The sequence below is a fragment of the Homo sapiens genome, chromosome 16 (assembly GCF_000001405.40).
Source record: "Homo sapiens chromosome 16, GRCh38.p14 Primary Assembly".
In the NCBI taxonomy this organism is placed as follows: Eukaryota; Metazoa; Chordata; class Mammalia; order Primates; family Hominidae; genus Homo; species Homo sapiens.
In genome coordinates this window covers 55,690,758-55,712,462 of record NC_000016.10, presented here as the reverse complement: position 1 = coordinate 55,712,462, position 21,705 = coordinate 55,690,758, and the positions used below count along the sequence as shown (strand labels likewise).

General features: G+C 48.0%; 1 protein-coding gene across 12 annotated transcripts in view; it reads right to left on the bottom strand.

Moving 5' to 3' along the window:
* SLC6A2 (solute carrier family 6 member 2) overlaps positions 6,271 to 21,705 on the bottom strand; it is a 50,205-nt gene continuing 34,770 nt past the window's right edge. For 3 of the 12 annotated variants that reach the window (NM_001172501.3, XM_011523300.3, XM_011523299.3), the window contains 10 exons: positions 20,411 to 20,545; positions 18,350 to 18,453; positions 17,061 to 17,185; positions 16,126 to 16,238; positions 14,438 to 14,566; positions 13,895 to 13,994; positions 12,809 to 12,909; positions 12,157 to 12,324; positions 10,529 to 10,600; positions 6,271 to 10,140 (listed from right to left, as the gene is read on the bottom strand). In NM_001172501.3, the coding sequence (NP_001165972.1) occupies positions 10,117 to 10,140; positions 10,529 to 10,600; positions 12,157 to 12,324; positions 12,809 to 12,909; positions 13,895 to 13,994; positions 14,438 to 14,566; positions 16,126 to 16,238; positions 17,061 to 17,185; positions 18,350 to 18,453; positions 20,411 to 20,545 (1,071 nt within the window). In that variant the 3' untranslated portion in view covers positions 6,271 to 10,116. Of the gene's footprint in view, positions 10,141 to 10,528; positions 10,601 to 12,156; positions 12,325 to 12,808; positions 12,910 to 13,894; positions 13,995 to 14,437; positions 14,567 to 16,125; positions 16,239 to 17,060; positions 17,186 to 18,349; positions 18,454 to 20,410; positions 20,546 to 21,705 lie in introns of those variants that run through there. The other 9 variants (XM_011523295.3, XM_006721263.2, NM_001172504.1 and 6 more) reach the window with 6 other exon arrangements.

Here is a 21,705-nt window from a genome sequence, read left to right as displayed (position 1 = left end):
TAGTGCTCATATTATCAATTAGAAATCTCCCTCCGTTGTTACTAACGCACCTGTCAGGCCAGGGAAGAGGAGAGGGAACCTAGAATGGGCAGAAATACTCTGCTCAATGGACATATCTACCTGCCAGCTCAGTGGTGCCTCTGTGAATGCCAACCCCAGGTCTGTCTGTCTTCCTCCTGCAAGACCTGAGTCCTGAGTCCCCACAACTTGAGCCCAAGGGAGTAACTAATATCAGGCCATAGAACATAGATGCCCTTATCTGTGGCCTTTCTGTCCAGGGTGCTTTCCACAGGGACCCTCTTGTTCTCAGCAGATGAGGGAACCTGGGGTGAGGAAGCTGCAGAGAGGGAGGCAGCGATCAGCATCTCCTCAATGTCCTTCCCATCCTCTCCCTAAGAGAACCATGATTCTGTTCAGGGCAGCAACGTACCCAGCAAAAGTTCTTACTTCTCCAGACTCTCTTATAGTCACGGGTTCTGTGTTGCACAGATTTGGCCAATGGGGTGTAGGCAGACTGCGGAGGGGTTCTGGGGAAGCCATGCTCCTCCAGCATGACAAGAGATGACTCAACTGTCTTCTGCCTTTACCTTTTCTCTCCCTCCCCCTTCCTCCTGCCTGAAAGGTGGGCAAGGCATCTGCAGGTGGCTTCACTATCTTTTCTCCATGAGGATGAGTACCACATGCTATGGATAGTGGAACAAGAAGCTGGAAGGCATCCAATTTTTTTATTACTTTTTAAAGCAGCTCCAGAGCCATCTGGGGCTTCTGGACACATCCAGGCAGGGGGCCCTGTTGAAGTCCTTCTCTAGGACCAAAGTTACTTCTCCATCTTCTTCCTGCTCAATACCTTCTCCCTGACCCATTGCCTGTTTGTTACAAGAGGATAAGAAAAGTCCATTTATGAAGAAACTATAGTTACATTTCTGTTAGATGCAGTCACTTGCATCCTAACATATATGTGCCTAATCTTTTTGCTTTTGGCTAGTGAGCCCAGACTAAACCTGTATTTGGCATAAAGAACCAGAGAGTACAGGACTGGGGGGCTTCTGGAGAAAGCCAGGATAGATACTTTTCCTAGGAGATAGGGAGCCTCTGTCCAAACTGAATTCCCTCTTACTATGTGATCTAGAGCAAGTTGTTTGCTTCCTATCACATTGTAGGCACTTAAATATATATATATATGTGTATATATATATATGTATATATATATGTATATATATATGTATATATATATGTATATATGTATATATATGTATATATGTATATATATATGTATATATATATGTATAGACACACACACGTATACATATATATTTACATTTACATATTTTTGTTAAAAATAGGCATATATGTGTATAACACATATATGTGTGTTAAATTACATATATGTGTACAACTTACATATGTATACACATAAGTTATTTATTTAGTATTATGCATTTGCAATTGAAGAAGGGATGGAAGTAGAGGAGGACTCATGTCCACACCAGCCTGACCATGTCATGTCCATGTGGCCGGGAACCAGGGAAGGGGGCAGATCAATGGTTAAAGACACAGACTGGAGCCAGACTTACCGGGTTCAAATCCCAGTTCCAACAACTAGTTATTTCAGCTCTTTGTGTCTCAGTTTCCCCCATTTATAAATGCGAATAATCATGCTATCTCATGGAGTCGTTAGGAGGGTTCAGTGACTGATATTTGTAAAGCACTCAGAATAGTAACTGACAAAAGGTAAACCAACCTGTTTGCTAATTAAAGGCAGATCAGCCAATTGGCCTTGTCCAAGGTGCTGATGCTCCTAAAGCCTTGGTCCTCCTGGAACTCCAGGGCTTGTGTGGCCAGGATGTGGCCTCATCCTCTCAGCTGTTTTAATGAAGCCACACACTCTTTGTGCTTTGTTGTCCTTCCAATTCCAAAACTCAAGGGCAAGGGTTCCACAAATGTAACTGTGGAGCCCAGATCCCCTAATCTTGTCTCTGACACTCCCTGGTTTGGCTCTGCAGTCCATTTGACAGGCCAGAGCTGCAATGCTCTTATGTGAGTGGGTATGCCTCGAATGCCAGCCCTACCCTGTCCCTTCTCCCCATGATAGGGGATTGTTACCACCAAGTGACTGCAGATGTGGGTCAGGGGTCAAAGGCGACTACAAGGAGGCAGTTTGGTTGCCGTGGTGCAAGAAAAGAGGTTTAGCAGGGTCCTGGGAATGGCTCGAGGTGGACGGCAGGCAGGTGCCCTGTTGCTGGGCTGACTGTGACCAGGTGCTACTGCTGTGTTAGGCCTCTCTTCTTCTGACTCCTGTCTGCCCCTCCGGGGCTGGGGTCTGGATTGCAGCCTGGAGCTGCAGGGGTGTGTGGAGTGCTCCCCACCTAACAACTACCCTCTGCTGCAGAGATGGTGGCTTTGTGGCTCCTGGGCATTCCAGGCTGTGACCCTTGCTGGGCCTTCTCTGGGGACAGGGTGGTCCTCCTCGATGTACTGCAGCCCAACCCTTACCCTCATGCCCTGCTAGTCTGGCCCGACCCAGCTTTCCCCAGGCCTGAGGCTGGCAGAGCCGGTAGCTGATAAGCAGGACTCCAGGACCCAGACAAGTGCCAGCTCTTCGAGGAGTCTCCCTCTGGTCTCCTCCCTTTCCAGGTCATAGCCAAGACCAGGGCCAGCCTAGAGTAATATCTCCCATGCCAGTGGTCTAATGGGGGCTGACAGCTGAGGGCTTACAGGGAAGCCGGTTCCTGCAGGAGGCAAGGTCTGTGGAGCCTGGGATTTCCAGAAGCTTGAACTTCTGCCCAGGTGGTTGCATGCACTCAGGCCCAGGGAAACTTGGATTTGGCTACCCAGACCCAAGTTCAAGGACATCATCCTAAGGAGGGCACCATCCTAAGGAGGGGATCCAAGAGGACGAGGAAACAGACACTGATTTGGCTTCGTGAAAACACAGTGGTAGCTGGGATGCCTTTGAAATGGGCAGAGGTGATGAGAGGAGGAAATATACATTCATCCTATAGCTGACATGAACCAAATATACAAAAGGATAAACTGTGTAGGTGGTACTATTCTGAATACAATATTAACATTTAATTCTCCCCATGACCCTAGCAGGGGTCACTACTGTCTTTCCCATTTATGAATGATAAACGGAGGCAAAGGGAAGTTATGTGGCTTGCCCAGGGATTCACACTGTGGAGTGATGGAACCAGGTCTTGAATCCAGGTACTGCAGCCCCAGAGAGTTGCTGTAAGTGTACATCACCTTGTTTCACCTTCCTGAAAACTCTCTTGTGGGAATCTTATTCTCACTCTTCAGAAACAAGAAAGCCTTCGGAAGTTTTACATAACTTGTCCAAGATTTCACAGCAGTCAGTGGTAAAGCTGAGACTCAAACCCAGGTCTAGTCCAACTCCAGACCCTTCACTCTTTCCACCTAACCAGAGATCTGCAAACCACAGACCTCAGGCCAAATCCAACCCACCACCTGATACTTATAAATAAGGTTACTTTCATGCTACAACAGCAGCTGAGAAGTTGTGACAGAGACCTTTACAGAAATAGTTTACCAAGCCCCGCACTAAACTTATAGGATGAACAAAAGGCAGCAACTCCCACCTTTATCTGTCACTGTCTGCCTGACAAAGTAGTCATTTACATCTTCATATGAATTAGCCCATCAACTTCATGCCGGCTCCCTGAGTGTATCTCATAGAGTCAGAAACAGAAAGGACTTTAGAGAATCACCCAATCCAACATTCTCATTTCACAGCTGGGAGAGCCAAGGCTTAGCAATGACTTTTCCAACATGACTCAATCATCACATCAGAGTAGTTGGTCTCAAGTGGACACTGGGGGGCCAGAACTTTTCCAGAGCATTGATCCCTAACAGCATTGATCCCTAACAGCATTGATCCTTCCAGTCCTGTTTGAGACTGTGTGACGAAGCAATGTTCCCAGTACCCTGCAACAAGCTCCTGTTAGGTGACCAAGTCCTTATAGCCCTGCAGTCTCTTCCCACAGTTCTGTGGTACCCGTCAGGACTTGTCTGGTCCCCACTCTACCTTATTTCCATAGGGCGGTGAATATAATGTGAAGAGCATTGACCCAGGCATGAGGGGACCTGACTTTGCCCTTCAGTAGCTGCGTGACCTTAGGCGGGTCACTTCTCAGCTCCAGCCTCAGTTGTCTCATCTGTCCAGTGGGCACGGTGTTCCTGTTGCTGCCTATCTTGCAGGCTCATTGTCACGGGATAAAATGAGGTATTTGCTGTGGGATGATTGATATGAAAAGTCAAGCCAGGCCCAGTGGCCTGCACCTGTGATCCCAGCTACTCAGGAAGCTAAGGCAGGAGGTTTGCTTGAGGTCAGGAGTTTGAGACCAGCCTGGGCAATCTAGTGAGTCACTGTTTCTACCAAAAATAAAATTAGACAACTGTGGTGGCATGCACTTATAATCCCATCTACTCAGGAGGCTGAGGCGGGAGGATCACTTTGAGCCCAGGAGGTCAAGACTGCTGTGAGCTGTCATCGCACCACTGTACTCCAGCCTGGGCGACACAGTGAGACCCTGTCTCAGAAACAAACAGACAAAAAAACAAAGTCAACATAATGCGGGGTGACTGAGATTCAGAAATAAGGTCTATTGTCATCCTCATTTAGTTTGGGGTGAAGGGCAGAGACCGATGCCATGTATCATCAGAAGAGAGAGGCCCCCAAAAGTAATATATACTTGTGGGTTTTAAATATTTGAAAACTTGATGAATGTATGGATCCTTTTTCCCCAAAAATGAGCACAAATTCATTCAAACAGAAGTTTGAATTTAATCTCAGAAGATTCTGAAAAATTTTGAAACCCATTCATGAACACTTAGTTCTGACCACTCCCGATCCGCTGTAGAGGAACAAATTGAGCCCCAGATAGAGACTACGTGTATCAGTGCCTTTGGGGAGGAGATAAAAATGAAGCTATCCAATCTCCAGAAGTAGGATGGGGTGCAATTAAATTGGGGAAAATTCAGAAGCCCACTAAGTGCCTAAGGTGAGGCTTATCTGTGCTGCTCCGACTTCTCCTACTGTGTTGTCAGCCTAGGGGACAGGGTGGAAGCCTGGGCCACCAGATTCTCCATCACCCCCACAAAACAGCTGCCCTTTCCTTCTCTGGACCAGCCTCCCTCCCCTCCTCCCACAAGACCACTGCTTACCAGATCTCGTCAGGCACAAGGGAATGCCAGAAGTGCAGCTGCCTTCTGTTTGATTCACTATAATAAAGCCCAACTCCAATTCTGGGTTGAAACAAAATGATCAGAATGATAATAGCCTCTCTGGGATATCTTCCCAACTCTAATTTGTGAGGCCAAACCACTCCTACCCCAGGGTCCTTGGCATGAATGTATTTGCATCTCCCAGTGCTGCTGTACAAGGCAGGCTTATGACTGTCAAAAAAAAAAAAAAAAAAAAAAGAAGAAGAAAAAAGAAAAAAAACAACCCTAGGAACTCCAAATGGAAGGAATCTTAGAGGTTGTGCAACCTCCCTCCCCCCAATTCCACCTGACATTGCATCCCCAGGAGACACTGCCTGCTATCTGCTTGCATATCTCTAGAGCTGGAGTTACCACTTCCAGCAACAGCCCATTCTCTATTCTGGTAGAATCTTGCAAGCTGTCTTCCTGGACTTCCTACCATTGGCACCATTTCAGCACTTGGGCCCACCACACACTCTCTGACAGCCTTTAGATATTTGAAGACATTGACTGAACAGTTATTTGACAACACCCCTTTTACATTGGTATCACTATCTATTTGCTGGCTTGCATTAAAAATAATTACCTATAAGTTCACATCTTCTCCAAACAATGACAATACTCAGCTTACATCTTCCCCAAACAAAGACTTAGATCTTCTAAGGTCTAAATGTGAATGTATCCCTCTCCCCAGAAAAATTCACACATGCACCAAATTGTGTATTTAATTCAATCCAACAGGAGGTTCTGAGCTCCTTGAAACAGCCTTAGAAATGAAAACTAAACTAAACTAAACCTGGTATCACTTGGTGCCCTCTTTTTATTTAAAAATATATGTTAATCTCAAAGCTAAGATTACAGATTTAACTCCTTCCAATCTCCTTTTCCATAGGTTATAAAAAGAGTTATTTGATTAAAAGGTGGGTCACTATGACCAGACGCTCTTCTTTACTAGTTGGAAGCTGATCATAGATACACCCACCTCCCTTACATAATTTGTAGCATTCCACCTTCATGGAAGAAAGCATTCAGAACTCTGCTACCAGATACACAGCCCAGGAAACATTATTTATTATTCTGTACACTTATATTCCACAAAGAGAACAACTTTTAAAATCCATATCAGACACAGAAATCTGCATGACATTGGAACAGTCCATGACACAGAGAGGACACAATTGAAACAGTCTTTATTTACACGGAAGCAGAGAGACAGAGGGATGAGGGCAGGCACCCCAAAAGTGACTTCACATTCACCAATGTTTCAGTGGCTTCTAAGACCACAGCAGAGCTGTGGATCCTGGGACTCACAGGGTATGAAAATGTGTTACCCTCCAAAGCCTCAAAACAAAAGGGTTGGATTAAAAACAAATACCAAGTGTTTCTGGCATCAGTTGAAAAATATCTGAGAAAGAGGAACTATTGAATGTCCAGAAAAATCAAAGTTCTGGAGGCTAGAAATCTGACATTTCTCTGATAGAGAGATCACTGGTCATCAGTTCATTTTGGGAAATTCTTACAGTTAAGTGATGTGTTTCCTTCATTGTAAATTTAACAGGAGAGCATCATTATGGATACATGCAGGGTTTTCTTTAATGGAATGGGAACTTTGATGATCTGATATAACCCCTGATTTTAAAGACAAAGAATCTTGAAGCCCCAAAAGATGAAGCCACTATCCCCAGGCCACCCAGCTAGTCAGCTGCAGACCCAAGTCTGTAAAACTATATGCTGTGCTTTTTCCGCCACACTACACACCTTCTCTGTTTTTCTCTCTTCGGTGGCTTTCGAAGGAAATAAACAAATAAAGTGAGTTCAATGGGCTTCTTTACTAGGAAATGATTTCTTTGGTAAGAATGCTTCAGTCTCACATTAGCGAGGCTAGAAAACAGATCATATAGCAGGAACTGGCTCCCAGCTGAGCGGTAACTCCTTTTGAGAATTAAGGCAGCTTCAGGGATTTCTGTTCAGCAGGATATCTGGCAAGAGTTGGTAGCTCTCCTTCTCCCTTGTCTCGTTTTCATCTAGAATGAAAGCTAAAAGGTGGGTGCTAAATAACTAGACATTGAGTAGACGTAAATGTGATGTTCTCAAACTGATATTTTACATTTCATGAAAAATAATAATTCTTTAAAAACCTGAAAAAATATCAAAAGCGTCAAGTGTCATATACAGTACACAGCACCCTTGTCCCGGGTGACCTCTGCTATTAAAAACAAGCTACAAAAAGGAAGTCAAAGATGACTTAACATAAAGCCCATACTCTCTCTCCATTAAATGTGGGTGGAAAGGTAAACCCAAATGATCTCCAAGCACCTCCCCGAGAACTTCCAAGGGCTTTCTGGGTACCCCCACCCTCCCAGGGGACCCAGGCTTGGAGCCAGGTTCCCATCCCAGATTCAGGAGCCAACTTCCGCCGCAAGGCAGCACCACTGCGTTGGTTTGGTGTTGGTTCAGCTAGCACCACATCTCCGATTCACCCCGGGACAAATGTCTGGAGGCAGAAGGGGCCACATGCAGATGGCAAAGAGGAAATGGCAGGCTCTCTCGGAAGCACGACCCTGCTCTAATGCAAAAGGCTTTGCTGACTGTTTGCTCTCATTTCAACCAAGTAGACTCAGCTTTTCACATCCAACTATTCCAAAGAGTGATTATTTTCATCAAAAGAGAGCAGCTAAATAATTTCCTCTCTGGAAACCAGCTAGAGGAAAATAAATGGCATTCTCTCGCCCCTTCCCATCCTCCAACACATTGTTCTTTTGCTAAGAAATTTTCCTTTGCGGTTTGAATGAGTTTTTTAAAAATGACAGTCCTGGGTGGGGTGAACCCTATTGTGCAGGGAATATTCAAAATAATCTGGGCTGAGAGTCAGTGGATGTGAATTGAAGGCCCAACTCGATCTGTTAGTTGCTAAAAAACCTTGAGCAAGAGTGACTAAAATGCTGGGCCTTGGTTCTCTCACCTGGGAAATGGGGAGATAGAAGCTATAGCCCTGCAGTCCTCACTGGGCAGATGGCAGGTAATGTGCATTAAAGTGCTTTATTACAAACAAACAAACAAACAAACAAAAACAAAAACAAAAAACGAAAAGAAAAATGGTAACACCTAGGAAGAAGTTACCTTTTATGGGAGGATATAAAGTCACTAATGGGGCCCAGACCCCGACCTGATTGTTCTCCATTCTTAAGCCTCACTGTTCACAGGGCTCCAAGACACCTGCCACCTGGGCTGTCTCAGGCATTCAGCTGACCTTTTTATACAGAAAGATTCAAAGTCTCCTGATTTTCCCTCTTTTATCTATAGAATGACCTGAGGACCCCGACCCAGCAAGGAAACCTCAGGACCCTGGGAGACAAAACCATCTCCCTGCCCCACCCTGGTCCCCTCATAATCCTCTTCATGCAGGAACCACCAGGCTCAACAACACCCCAATTTGAGGCAAAGCACCTTCTTGACGTGCGAATGCAGCGGCTTCTTTATTTTTTCCCAAGATCCCGCAACAGGAGCTCCCACAGTCAGAATAAGAATCCCTCCAACAAGGGTGTAAGAGACTCTAACCATAAACAGAAACCCCTCCCAAAGATGCCACCAATTTAGCAAACTAGGAATCATTTCTCTTACGGAACTAAAACTAAACACCACCAGAGGGCACCAAGTGCAAGTTTGTATCAGAAGTAGATCCAAGTAGAAACCTAGAAATTCTCTGAAACCACCAAACTGTTCCATCCACTCTCAAAATTCTCCCCTCCACTTGAGAGAGTATTTCTGGGCTGCTTGTCTCACCCTGCCCTCCAAGGTGCCACATCTAGTGCATGAGAGTTTTTGCAGCCAACTCTCCATTTCTCAAGACCCCTGGTCCACTCCAGGTGGGATCCCCAGAGGGAGGCTGTGCAGGTGTGCAAGAACAATAAATTAACACAACAGCCTGTCAGGCTCCCTTTGGGCACCCACCTGGCCTTGTGAGGACAGCACGGTGAAGACACACATGAGGCCTCACTTGGTCCCTGCCCCCGTTTCCCCAGGCAGGTCTCAGGAAGTGCAGATGGGTTTCTGGGCTCCGTGTCTTACAGAGCAAGAGCAGCATGAGGCCTCAGTAGATGTGGCTTGCCACGTGGCCTCCACCAGCTTGTCTGATGCAGGTACCTCCTAGAACCTGCTCACTGTGGTTCATTTACCCTCTTCCTCCTGTCCCCCATATCTCTGGGCCATCTGACCACCAAAAGCTGGAGGAATGTTCCAGAACACACACATCAAACTCAGATTGGCCAGAGTGAAAATTAACTATGAATGTTTCTACTCAAAATCCCTCAAAGCATCTATCCACTGACTTCATTTTAGAGACAAATAAATCTAACTCCCAGGCTGAGGTTCAGACATGAGAGGGCTGTCTAGGGTGGGCAAGAGGAGGGTCTATGTACCTTCCCCAACCACCCCACTAAACTCAGCCAGATTTTGTTTGATTTTTGCTTTAGTTTTAGTTTTTTTTTTTTTTGGGAGGGGTATCTGATCAAAAGCCCATCCTCTCTCTGATTTGGTGGACTAAGAACTCCTGTGCCCAAAGTCTAGGCAAATGTGGTGGGGATTTCCGACCTCATGAACCTAGCTTCAGCAGGATCCCAAAGTGGGAGAGACTTCCCCCAAAACAGCGGGGACAGAACAGAAGTCATTTTCCTGTTTGCTCCTCTCCTCTGAGCTAACAGCCCCCAGGCCAGATGCACAGAAGGTGAACAAAAACTACAGTCACGAAATCATTTGTAAATGGGAAAAGAAGAGAGGATCAGAAAGGACAACTTCCAGGGGAGGAATCCCAAGATGGTGTCCGAGGTGGGAGCGCAGCGGATGCCTGTGACCTGGACATTGGCATGGGGGTTCCTCCTTCTCCTCCAGGCAGGCTCAGATGGCCAGCCAGTGTTGCAACTGCAGAGAAAGACAGCGAGGACTTGATGACATGGTGGGGACAGAAAGGAGCAAGGGCCAGCTGGCGGGGGCAGCAGGAGGTAGAGAGAAGGCAGAAAAACACCCCCTTCCTTCACGGACCTCAGGGAACGTGCAAGTTGATTCCCTAATTGTCACAGAGGCCCAGAAAGGGCAGCAGAACCTCCCCAAAGTCACAGGGCAAGCCTGAGGCCATGGGCTCAAGGTGAGCCTCCCTGTCCCCCATCCCGATGTTTCCAAGGGGAAAAGGCAGCTCACACTGGGTTTCTGGGTTTTCTGGATGTGATGTCTAGCCTTGGGCAGTGCACAGCAGGGAACAGCCAGGGCCCGCCCTTGTAATCTCCACCCCAGGGGTCTAGGCTTCACCCACCTGGAACTGTCTGATGTCCCTCTGAGCCACCAGGTGGTGCTCGTTCTCTGGCGTGATGCCATAGGCCAGTCTCTGAAAGGAAGAGAAGGGGAGGAGGCCTCAGCTTGGCCCAGGGACACCCTTCTGGCAGCCTGGCTGCACCCCCAGATGAGGGCCACCTGCTATTTGATCCTGCAGCCCCACATGGATAGCATTTGGGGTCTGTACAAGACACCTCCAGCTTTGTTTGTGGAGCTGGTCCATTGAGTCACTCATCCAGACACTGTTTCTTGAGCTGCCTACTGTGGTCAGACATGGGGCTAGGCCCTGTGGATCCAGACTTGAAGGAGACCCACACAGTCTCTACTTTGGGGGAGCTTACCGCCCATGTAAGGGACTGGCAATGAACAAACACACACATCATCTTAGACCCAGAATGGAGAAAGTGCAGCAGGGAGAGTGTGGAAGGAAGCCTCTGGCCCTGCAGGGAATCAGGAAAGCCCTCCTGCAGTGGAGGCACTTGTGGGGTCTCAAGCCATGTGTTCTGAACCAACAATTGATCACTGGTAGCAGGAAGCCTCTCCACTCCCAAAGTGTGAAGAATAGAAGGCTCAGGTCCCAGTTCCCATGTCTAGAATGAGGTCACTGAACACTGATCCTCCCAGTGACCCGGAACCAGACTTAGGGATTTCACAGACAGGAAATGTATCACAAAGAATGAGGATGGGGACTGTCTGTCTGTTACTCCCTTCCTTGAGTTTCCTTGTGGCTCCCAAGGATGCCTTCCATCCTCATTTTGTTTACCTGCCCTTGATTAGAATGTGAACTCCATAAGGGCAGGAATTTTTGTCTAGTGCCTCGAATACTACCCAGCATATATCTGCGTCCCAATAAATACCTTCCAAGTGAGTGGATAAAGGAATGAAGGAATGAAATCATCTTTGTTTTGTAAAGTAAGGATATGAGGAAAAGATTATCACTATTAGTTTATGAAAGAAAGGATATTTTAATCAAATAGGAGTGACATAATTTCAGAATAAAGGGCAGTTTCCTAAATATTTATATAAATGTGTGTGTGTGTGTATATATACATGTATGTATATACACACACATGTACATATATACATATGTATAAATATTGACATATATGCAGAATGCATAGAAAGAAATAGTTCAGAAATCTCTGGTTTAGGCTGATCAGATTATTAGGTTCTGGAAAGAGGCAGGTGAAAACCAGAAGGAGCAGATCACAGTGGGCTTGGATGGGGAGAGCTGGGACATCTTGGGAAATGACAAATCTTAGACAGAGACATCACAGTGAGCTGGGTTCAGGCAGTCTGTCTAATCAATCCTTAGTGAACTCCAGGGCTGAGCTCACCCCCAAGTAACATGTACTGAACACCTCCTGTGCGCCAGACACTGTGCTAAGTACTTCTTTTTTGTTTTGGGGTACGTAATATTATCCTCAATATACAGATGTGGAAACTGAGGCTCATGGGGGAAAATAACCTGGCCAATGAGGTGGGTCCGTTTGACCCTAGTGTCTGTGTCCTTCTGTCCCTTCCCCCACCCCAACAGGAATGAGAGTCGTCCCGTCTTCCCCCTCAGCCCCCTCCCACCCTGTTCCCCTGGGGAGGACCAGAGCTCACCTCCCAAAGAGAGCCCTGCGTGCTGAGGAACTTATAGATGACGTAGATGGGCACCAGGACCATGGAGGACAGGGCGATGCCCCACCCCACCCAGTTGGCCCAGGGCGGGAAGATGTAGTCGTCGTAGGTGAGTGGCTTGAAGTTGATGATGCTGACCACAACCACGAACTAGAGATGGGCAGAGAAGGGAGAGAAAGGAAGACAGGACAGAAGAGAGACAAGAAAGGAAAGAGAGAAGGAGGTGGAAGAAAGGTGGGAGAGAAATGAAGAGAAGTGAGCATCACAGCAAAGGGAGGAAATAAGGAAGGAGTGGAAAAGAGAAAGAGATGGAGAAATAAGAAAGAATTCAAGAAGCAAGTGATAATCAAAAGGAGGCAGATATGACAGGGAGCAAGAAAAGAGGAAGAACAGAAGGTGACTTTGGAGAAGGCATAACAGCCCCCGGGGACCTGGCCCCAGCTGGAGAACCCCCTAGTAAGGTGGATGTCTACCACGTTATCCACAGGGCCAAGCATCCCAAGTGACCCCTCTGCATGACCAGGGCCTCTGGATCCCAGAGCCTCCTCCCCTAAGAAGCAAATATCCTCACCCAGCTCCATCCTGGACACAGCCCCCTCCCCACATGCAGGACTTCCCTGCAGACACTACACACCAGGAGGAAGGCAGGACTGACGAACTTCCAGCACAGTCTCCAGTATAGACCCGGCCTGAACCCCATCATCTGCTGGATGTCGTTGCTGAACCTGTCCACTCCTGTGCACACACAGGGCAGGCCTGTTACCATGGCCCCCATGATAGCCAGGGCCAGGTCCTCCCATGAGGTTCTGGCCCCAGGTGGAGAGCAGGGCAGTGAGGCAAGATGCTGATACCCTGGAACTAGGGAGACTCGGGGATGGGCCCTTTGTAATGCAGAATGAGGGAGAGGACAAACTCTAGGACAGTATCCCCTTTCATGTGTCACCCCAATTCACCTGTCAGAGGGAAACCTGGGCTCAAAGAGGTGAGGGGATTTGCCCCAAATTCCAGAGCCAGTTGGCCTGACTCCAAAGCCCAGCTCTTTCCTCTTGGTTACTCTTGCTCTGAAAATAACAACAACTATGCATACAGCACATTCCCTGACTTCAATCTGATAGGAGAGCCCAGACTCTTCCATTGAATCTCTTTCTGAGTGGCAGCAGAGTGAGAACAGGACTAACATGTTGGTGTGACACTTGGTGGGGAAAAACAAACAATTAACACATTTAAGGGTTTGTAAAATATTCTCTCAGTTCTGTTCCAGAATAAGTTTGCCAGAAAAAATACAAGATACCCAGTTAAGTTTGAATTTCACATAAATAATGAAAAAAATTAGGGTAAGTATGTCCGATGCAATATTTGAGCTATACTTATACTAAATAATTATTTGTTATTTATCTGAAATTCAAGTTTAACTAGGCAACCCGTGTTGTGTTTGCTAAATCTGACAACCCCCTGGTAGGATGAATTATATGACTTGGGGGTCAGCATTTTCCTAAGGGTTCCTCTTTTAGGAGTTGATGCCCAGGGGCCTTTGCAGCCTCCTGTTAAGGGCAGGTTCATCCAAAGATGAGCCGAGGATTGAGATTTGTTCCCAATAAGTGACTTGCTGGACTCTGGAATTTTAGGTGGCTGTCCTGGAAATGGAAGGCCTCCCTGCACACCTCCAGGTGCAGGATTCTAGGAGGACTGGGAGCTGAGGCTTTTCCACACACTCACATACCATAAAACCAGGAAACTCCGATGGCTTCCATGAGGACAGCAAAAAGGATGGAGGTGCCCGCAGCAAAGGTGTCCAGGAGGGTCAAGACGTAAATTCCACCCTGGCACAGGGAGAGAAGAAGCCAAGAGGCCCTCTTTGGTCAAACGTGGGAACTGATTGTTGTGTCTGTCAACTCTTACCTGCCCCCTGTCCCACTTGCTCGGAGCTCTATTTGAAAACCCAGGGCATAGGGCTGTGGTGCTGTTGTATTGACGTTACAGTCACCTCAGTTTCAGCCAATAAAGAGTTAGATGGGTTCCAAAGGGACTTTTGCTGCCCCTCAAGTCAATAAGCAATTAACAGGGCTGAATGGAATCCTCAGCATCAGAGATGGAAGAAGACTACTGGGCCTAACCCTAGTGGGTCAGGCCGCTGAATTGAGGATGCTGGATCCTGCATTGTTCTCCCTGAGCTCAGCCCCAGTTCTAAGGCTAGGAATGTTTGACTTTATTGAAATGCGGCCTCAGAGGCCCCCAGGTGACCCAGAGCCCAGCCCCTACTCACCTTGGTTATGCAGAACAGGGCGAGAAGGAAAGTGCTGAAGGTGACGCCAAATGTGAAGAGTTTCCGGTGTCGCTTCAGGACCTGGAAGTCATCTGCCAGGCCCGTGATGACAGCCTCCATGCCTCCCATCTGGAGGGAACCAGGAGGGGTGGGGTGCAGGAATTAGGGTCTCCCTGGACCTCAGTCTCAGGCCCCAGGGTTCCTAGAGCCTCCTGCAGCCCAGGACTCATGTAGGCTGCCTTGCCTCTCTCGAGAAATCAGCACGTCCTGCCTTCCCCATCCTCTCGTCACATTTCTGTCCTGTTCTCAGGCAAACTCAGAACTCAGAAACTACGTGGGAGAGGGTGAGGGTTAAGTCAACACCTGTCTCCCCTACGCAACAGCTACCTGTCTCCTGACACTCACTCAGCCTGAGTGGGTACAGATAAGCTGATAGTGGAGTGAAAGCAGTAAAACACCAAAACCCATGTCATACGTTTACATGTCAATAAGTGTCTCTGGAAACAACTCCTGCAGAAGAGCTTCTAGTGATGGGAACTTCAGGCAGCAGTTTTTGATAAGGATTTTTGGCTGCCTTTCTAATGATCAAGCAAAGTGGTCACTTCAAACTCCAGACTCTTAGAGTCTGAAAGGGTCTCATATCCCACTGCTATGGGCAGATTGCTTCCTTATGAGGACAATGTGAGGGCAGACAAGAAGAATGCAAGCTACCACTCTCCTCTCCTCTCCCCTCCTCTTGGCAGACACTGTTAATCAAAATCAGTATTCTTCATTATAAGCCCAGAAGCAGCCTCAAAATCCTTCTCAACTCCCTGCTCCTGGCAGATCTGCTGACTGAAAGCAAAAGGCAGTGGGAGGAAAACCAAGTGCCAGCCCTTCCATAAGATTTTTTGCAAATGTCCAGGCATGAGGTACTAAGGGTAGACATAGATTTAAAAAGATGTCAGTAAATCCAATCTTACATTTGGATAAAATAAAAGGATGTAAGAAACTACTGGGTTCAAAATGTTTTTGTTTGTTCGTTTGGGTTTTGAGGTGTTTTTTAGAAACCAGGTCTCACTCTACCCAGGTTGAAGTGCAGTGGTATAATCATAGCTCACTGCAGCCTCCAACTCCTGGGCTCATGTGATCCTCCCACCTCAGCCTCCTGAGTAGCTAGGGCTACAGGCATACAACACCATGCTCAGCTAATTTTTTAAATTTTTTATAGAGACGGGGGTCTCCCTATGTTGCCCAGTCTGGTCTTGACATCCTGGCCTCAAGCAATCCTTCCACCTCAGCCTTCCACAGCCCTGGGATTATAGGAGTGAGCCACCATGCCTGGCCTATTGATTATTGATAATAAAATATAATGAGAAAATGCTTGTTTAGAGCACAAGATTTTATCTGTGTTGCCTCTGAATCATTTCCCCACCTGCAAGAGGACAGTGTGGGGCTGGCTTATCTGAAGCCTCTTCTTTTGGATTTCCAAGATGTCAAAGGGGTTCCTATGGTTCTTGGCTATGGCCTAAGTCTTATCTTTTTGAGTGAGGACTCACTTTTTTTGTCTGCATTTAAATAGGGCCTTCTGGAAACAACTGTTAACCTGGTGTTTGAATAGTGGGAACTTCAGGCCCAGCACTGTGTGTTGGGGAAGGGGGTCAGGCCCAGTGGGATGGGGGATAGGTATCCTAAGCAGGGTCACTCACTGAGCTGTCAAGGCCCAGCGCCAGGAGCATGACGAAAAACACAACAGCCCAGAATGTAGATCCAGACAGGGTAGAAATGGCCTCTGGATACAGGATGAACACTAGGCCAGCTCCTGTAAGAAACATCAAGGACCTCATCAATGGCTGAAACCATTGGTCTGAGCTGCACATGATAGGGGAGTATCTGGGGGCCCAATTGTTCGGTCATGTGTGGGCGGACAGAACACAGGTTTAGAGATAACAGATGAAATCAGCATGAACTTACAGCTCACCTGTGCATCGGAGAGGTTGACCCCCAACAGCCAGTCTGGAGAGCAGTTCCCTGCCTGGACAGCTACAGGCTACATGCTGCAAACCCCACCTACTATACTCTATAAGGGATCCACTCTTACTCACTAAAGCTTGGGGTCCTCGGAGTGCATTAGAGGTAGCCCTTCCCCAGGTCTCAGCTTCTCTGTGGCCATAAGGATATGGGAAGCTGCAGGGAAGGACACAAGCTCCAGAGCTGGATTGATTGGGGTGTGAATACTATTGCACAATTGCTCACTAGCTGGGTGACGCCAGACAATGTATTTAGCTTGCATCTCAGTCTTCCCATTCGTAAAGTGAGTCTATTGACACTTGCCCGGCAGCCTTGTGAGAACTAAGTGGAGGTATGTCAAGTGCTTAGCCCAGGGCTGGTACAGAGAGGACAGTCCAAAATCCGTTCCTTCCACCCTGACTCAGAGGAAGGTTCTCCTACATGCATGGGGACTGTGACTGCCTGGAATGCCCACTAATAACCTCAAAGGAAAGTCAATCACATGGGTGGTTTGGACACCTCCATGGACAACCCAGTATTCCTACAGCCACGGAAGAGCCATGCAGCCAAGAATAAGGTGGGCTTCTCAGCTCCCGCCTCAGTGGGCTGGGGCCCAGGTGGGCTGCCCACCCACCTTCTGTGGCCACATCCTCAATGTTGACCTTGTGTTCATGGGCCATGTAACCAAGGATGGAGAAGATGGCGAACCCAGAGACGAAGCTGGTGATACAGTTGATGCTGCTGGTCAGCAGGGCATCCCTGGGGGAAGAAGCACAGTGAGGTCAAGTCCCTTGACACCCTCAACCCTGTGTTTTGACTGCTGGACTGGCTATAGAACCTGCAGCCTGGCCCCAGCCTCAAAGGCCATCCCCCCTTCAGTGGCTCCTGCTGCCACATGGATACAGGGCCTCACCATCACTGGTGCAGGAAGTAGGCTAACTGCTTATGGATGCAACAGCCTGATACCAGAGTCTACTCCTGCCAGGGAATTGAGTCACCAGCTTCCTTCAACAAACCTTCCATGGCTGCTCCCCAGTGCCTCCCAACTCCTCATCCTGTCATTCAAGAGCTTTGCTAAGAAGACCCAGCCTTCCTTATATATTTATCTTCCATGACTCCCAAGGTGTACTCTGAACAAACCATAAATTGGTCCATAAACAAACCACTTCCTTGCATTTGCCTGTGTTGTCCCGCTTCTCCCCCCAGTGCATGCAGTCCACTCCACGTCTGCCTAGCATAATCCTAACTATCCTCCAAGGCTCATCTCAAATTCACCTCCATGCACTGGCTTGTCTTCTATCAGGGGGCTGATCACCCCATTTCCTTACCTCCCTATAGCCTGTCCCGCTGGTATGAATTCACTGGACTCTGTCATGTACCAAAGACACTGTGATTCTGCCTTAAGCCTTGGATGGAGTGTAATGGAAGTGGACCCAAATTTGTGCCTATGCCTGAAGTCCCCACAGCACTGGGCCAGCAGGAGGTAGCATTGACTGCTTCCTGAACTGAGCTAGATCATGGTCTTCTGAGTCTCAGTCTCCCCTGCAGTCTCACTTCTGACCCTGCCAGGCCCTCAGCAGCTGCGATATTCCACCCCTGCCTGCCTGGGCATCTGATGGACAGAGTCCATACTGAAATCTTCACAGTTCTCCTCTGTCATAACTACCCATCTCTCAGTGGTGGTAACCTCAATTTTCCCAGTTCCACACCTCACATTTGTTTAAGAGGCATCCTGAAATGAAATGTGGTCATCAGGACCCTCAGAGGCCATGTCGCAGTTTATAGAATGCCCAGGATGGTTCACAAGAAGAAAATTTGGCTTGCCCAGGGAGAGTTGGCTTCCAGACCAGAGCCCTCTCTGCCACCCAACAAGAGTCAATCCCCAGGATTTAGAGCTTCTCAGAATTCTGAGAAGAATCTTACCTGTAACAGTTGTTGTCAAATTTGTTGTAACTGGCAAATGCAATCAATACTCCAAATCCAGCCCCCAAGGAAAAAAATATCTGAGTTGCGGCATCAATCCATACCTGAAACCAGCAGACAAAAGCCATCAGCCTCTGCTTCCTACAACACTGGAACACCTCACTGGTCCGGAAGGGCTGAGAAACCCTGGGGATGCTCTGAGACCAGAGGAAACATGGTCTGAACCAGAGATGGGCAGCCCTGGCAACTCCCTCCCCTGCATCCTGTACAAAACAACTGCAGAGAGAGGCTGGGCCTCTCTAGCATCTCCCAGCCTTGGGTAGTCGTGAGTGAGCTCACCCTGTAGGAACTCATTCACTCAATTTCATGCCCTGATTTTCAAAGAAAGTTAACAAAATGAAAAGTTCTAGGCTAGAGTGTGAATGGGGCAAGAACAGAGGGTTATGGCCATCTTAGGAGTTACGGAGATGGCATTTTCAGAAAGCGAGGACCATTCCTAGGAGGCTTCTACAAGCCATAGACAATGGTGACTCCTTGGGGGCCAATGGGGCTTACGTATTTAATCCGTTGGGTGATAAAGGCACATGGCCGGAGGCCTGAAGATCTGAATTCCTTTTTAACTTCTCTGCCTCATGTTCTAGCCCTGGTCAAGTTCACTTCTCTCTGTCTGTTTCCTCATCTGTATAATGGGGATAATTATACCTCACACACTCAGACTAAGCTGCAATTCAGATTTTTTTTTTTTAAGCAGGGTCTCACTCTGTCACCCAGGCTGGAGTGCAGTGGCATGATCTTGGCTCACTGCAACCTCCACTCCCTGGGTTCAAGCATCCTGAGTGGCTGGGATTACAAGTGCGTGCCACCGTGCCCCGCTAATTTTTGTACTTTTAGTAGAGACGGGGTTTCCCCATGTTGGCCAGGCTGGTCTTGAACTCCTGACCTCAAGTGATCCGCCCGCCTCAGCCTCCCAAAGTGCTGGGATTACAGGCGTGAGCCACCGCGCCCAGCCTTGCAATTCAGATTTCAGAGATGCCTGTGCAAACAGAGGGCAGCATGATCTGATGGGGGAAGACAGATCTGCTCCTTGAGACTGCACTGAGGGCTTAGCTTCTACACATCTGAAAGGTTTGGCATAAACAGTCACAGAACAAATAGAAGTCTGACTTATTTTGCAATTTACGAGGCTGATTCATGTCTTATGCTCTGTTATCTTTCTGGCTGTTACTATGAAAATAGGTTTTCTCTTGGTTACCGGTCTATAACATTGCAGTGTGTTGGAGCATTACAACTATGGAGATGTATATTGGGATGCATCCCTCTTCATCCTGTGCTGCTGGGGCCTGCCAGGATTATTATGGGTTCAAATAAAGAAACCCTGGAGAATTGTAAGATAGCATGTTGAGGTGTTCTCACTGAGGGGCCCTGCAAGAGGAGGCTAGAAGTAATCTCAGCAGTTATCTGAAGATGCTCAAGGTACTGAGTACCTCTGTGATTGTCTCTGCTCCCACCATCACTGCTCTGCACTGGACTCCACTACCAAATTCACCCACTTTCACCATAGTTGGGGCCTCTGGACAGGGGGAGTGGTTGGATGAGGGTGTTGGGGAAGAGAGTTGGCAGGGCCTCCCTGGTGGCTAAGACTATCCTTGTGCTGACATCACAGGATGGTGGCAAAGACTAGGTTTGGGGATCCAAGAGTAGAAAGAGGGCAGGGAATGGCTGGGGTGGACTAGGGAGCTGTGGGCACAGGGCAAGAGCAAGGTCCCAAGACATCATGTCCTCTTCACAGGGAATTTCTCTCCTCAAAAAGAGTAGTCTGTGAAGACCACCAGATGCAACCACAGAATCCCAGGCCTCCAGACATGGGTGGGCTTATGGAGACTGTCAGGTGCAAATCCGCATTGGTCAGATGGGGAAGCTGCACCTCAGACAGGGAAGGATCCTGTCCAAGGCTACACTGCACATTTGTGGCAGAGCTGGGACCAGATTTTCCATCATCACCTTCTCCTGAAAACCCTCCCACAAGCCTGGCCCAAGGCTTGGTGGTCACTGAGCACTGACCGTGGCCTCTTTCAAGCGGTAGAAGTCGATGTGCAGGTAGGCATTGATGCCATTGGAGGCTCCGGGCAGCGTGACGCCATGGACCAGGAGCACGAACAGCACGAAGTAAGGCAGCGTGGCTGTGATCCACACCACCTGGGCAATGGATAAGTTCAGGTGAGAGCCTCGCTCTGGCCCCAATCCCGTGGCGGGCTGGTGGGGCACAGAGCCCTTTCCCAGGGAGCCAGTCATGCTCTTTCCCACCTTCCTTTACCCAAAGCACATGCTACAAGTTCCAGCTCTAGGCAAGGCCCTGAGCCAGAATCCAGGGCTAGACCAGCAAACGGACACAGGTCACACCCTAGAGAAGCTCAGAACCCAGGGTGAGAGTCAGCCACAGTGGGGATAGCACTATGATGAAAGCCAAGGGCAAAGACTAGGTCCTCATAGCACCAGATGCCTCCTCATCTACAAAGCCACCTCTCCTGACTCCTTCAAGGAAAGACTCCTGACTCCATAAAATGAAGAACTTTCCCATATATAGAGCTCTCTAAAGGAAAAGAGCCTAGAGAGGTGGTGAGGTACCTGTCATTGAAGTTGTGCGAGTGTTGCTATGAATACAGGCATTGGCAAAGGATTGCCTAGATCAAGGCGTGGTTCATGAACCAGACAGAACTAAGTACACCCACCTTTGTGCTCTCCCCTTTCCCCATCAGTCCTGTGTCCATCACACCATTGCTACTGGTTGCTGCATGCACCTATCTGACTGGCAGGATATTTAGAAATCTCAGTCTCTCTCTCTCTCTCTCTCTCTCTCTCTCTCTCTCTCTCTCTCTCTCTCTCCCCCTCTCCCCTCCCCCCCTCTCTTTTTCTCTCTTCCCATCCTCCCTCCCTCTTCTTGCTCTCCCCTCCCTCATCTCCCTCTCCTCCACTCTCTCCCTTATGTTTATCTCTTCCTTTTTTTCTTTACCCCCCTTTAAGCATATTTTCTTTCCTAAGCACATTGCCTAGGAAGGGATGTGGCTGGGCAGAAAGCAGAACCTCTGACCATTCTTTATCTTAGTGGGAACAGATGTGGGACACAGACAACGTACCTTATTCAGAAACACACAAAGGAAGAGATTACTCCAAACTAAAAAGAAACACCCCATCCCCTTGTCCAGGTTGGAGGAACAGAAAAGAAAGGTAGAGACAGGGATGGGGGTGTTATATAGGTTTCCTTGCTATTCCTTCTCACCCTTGGCTACATATTCAAATACCCTGGGGGAAGTTATAGGTAAAAATGTTAAAGCTCAGATCCTATTCTTGGAGTTTCT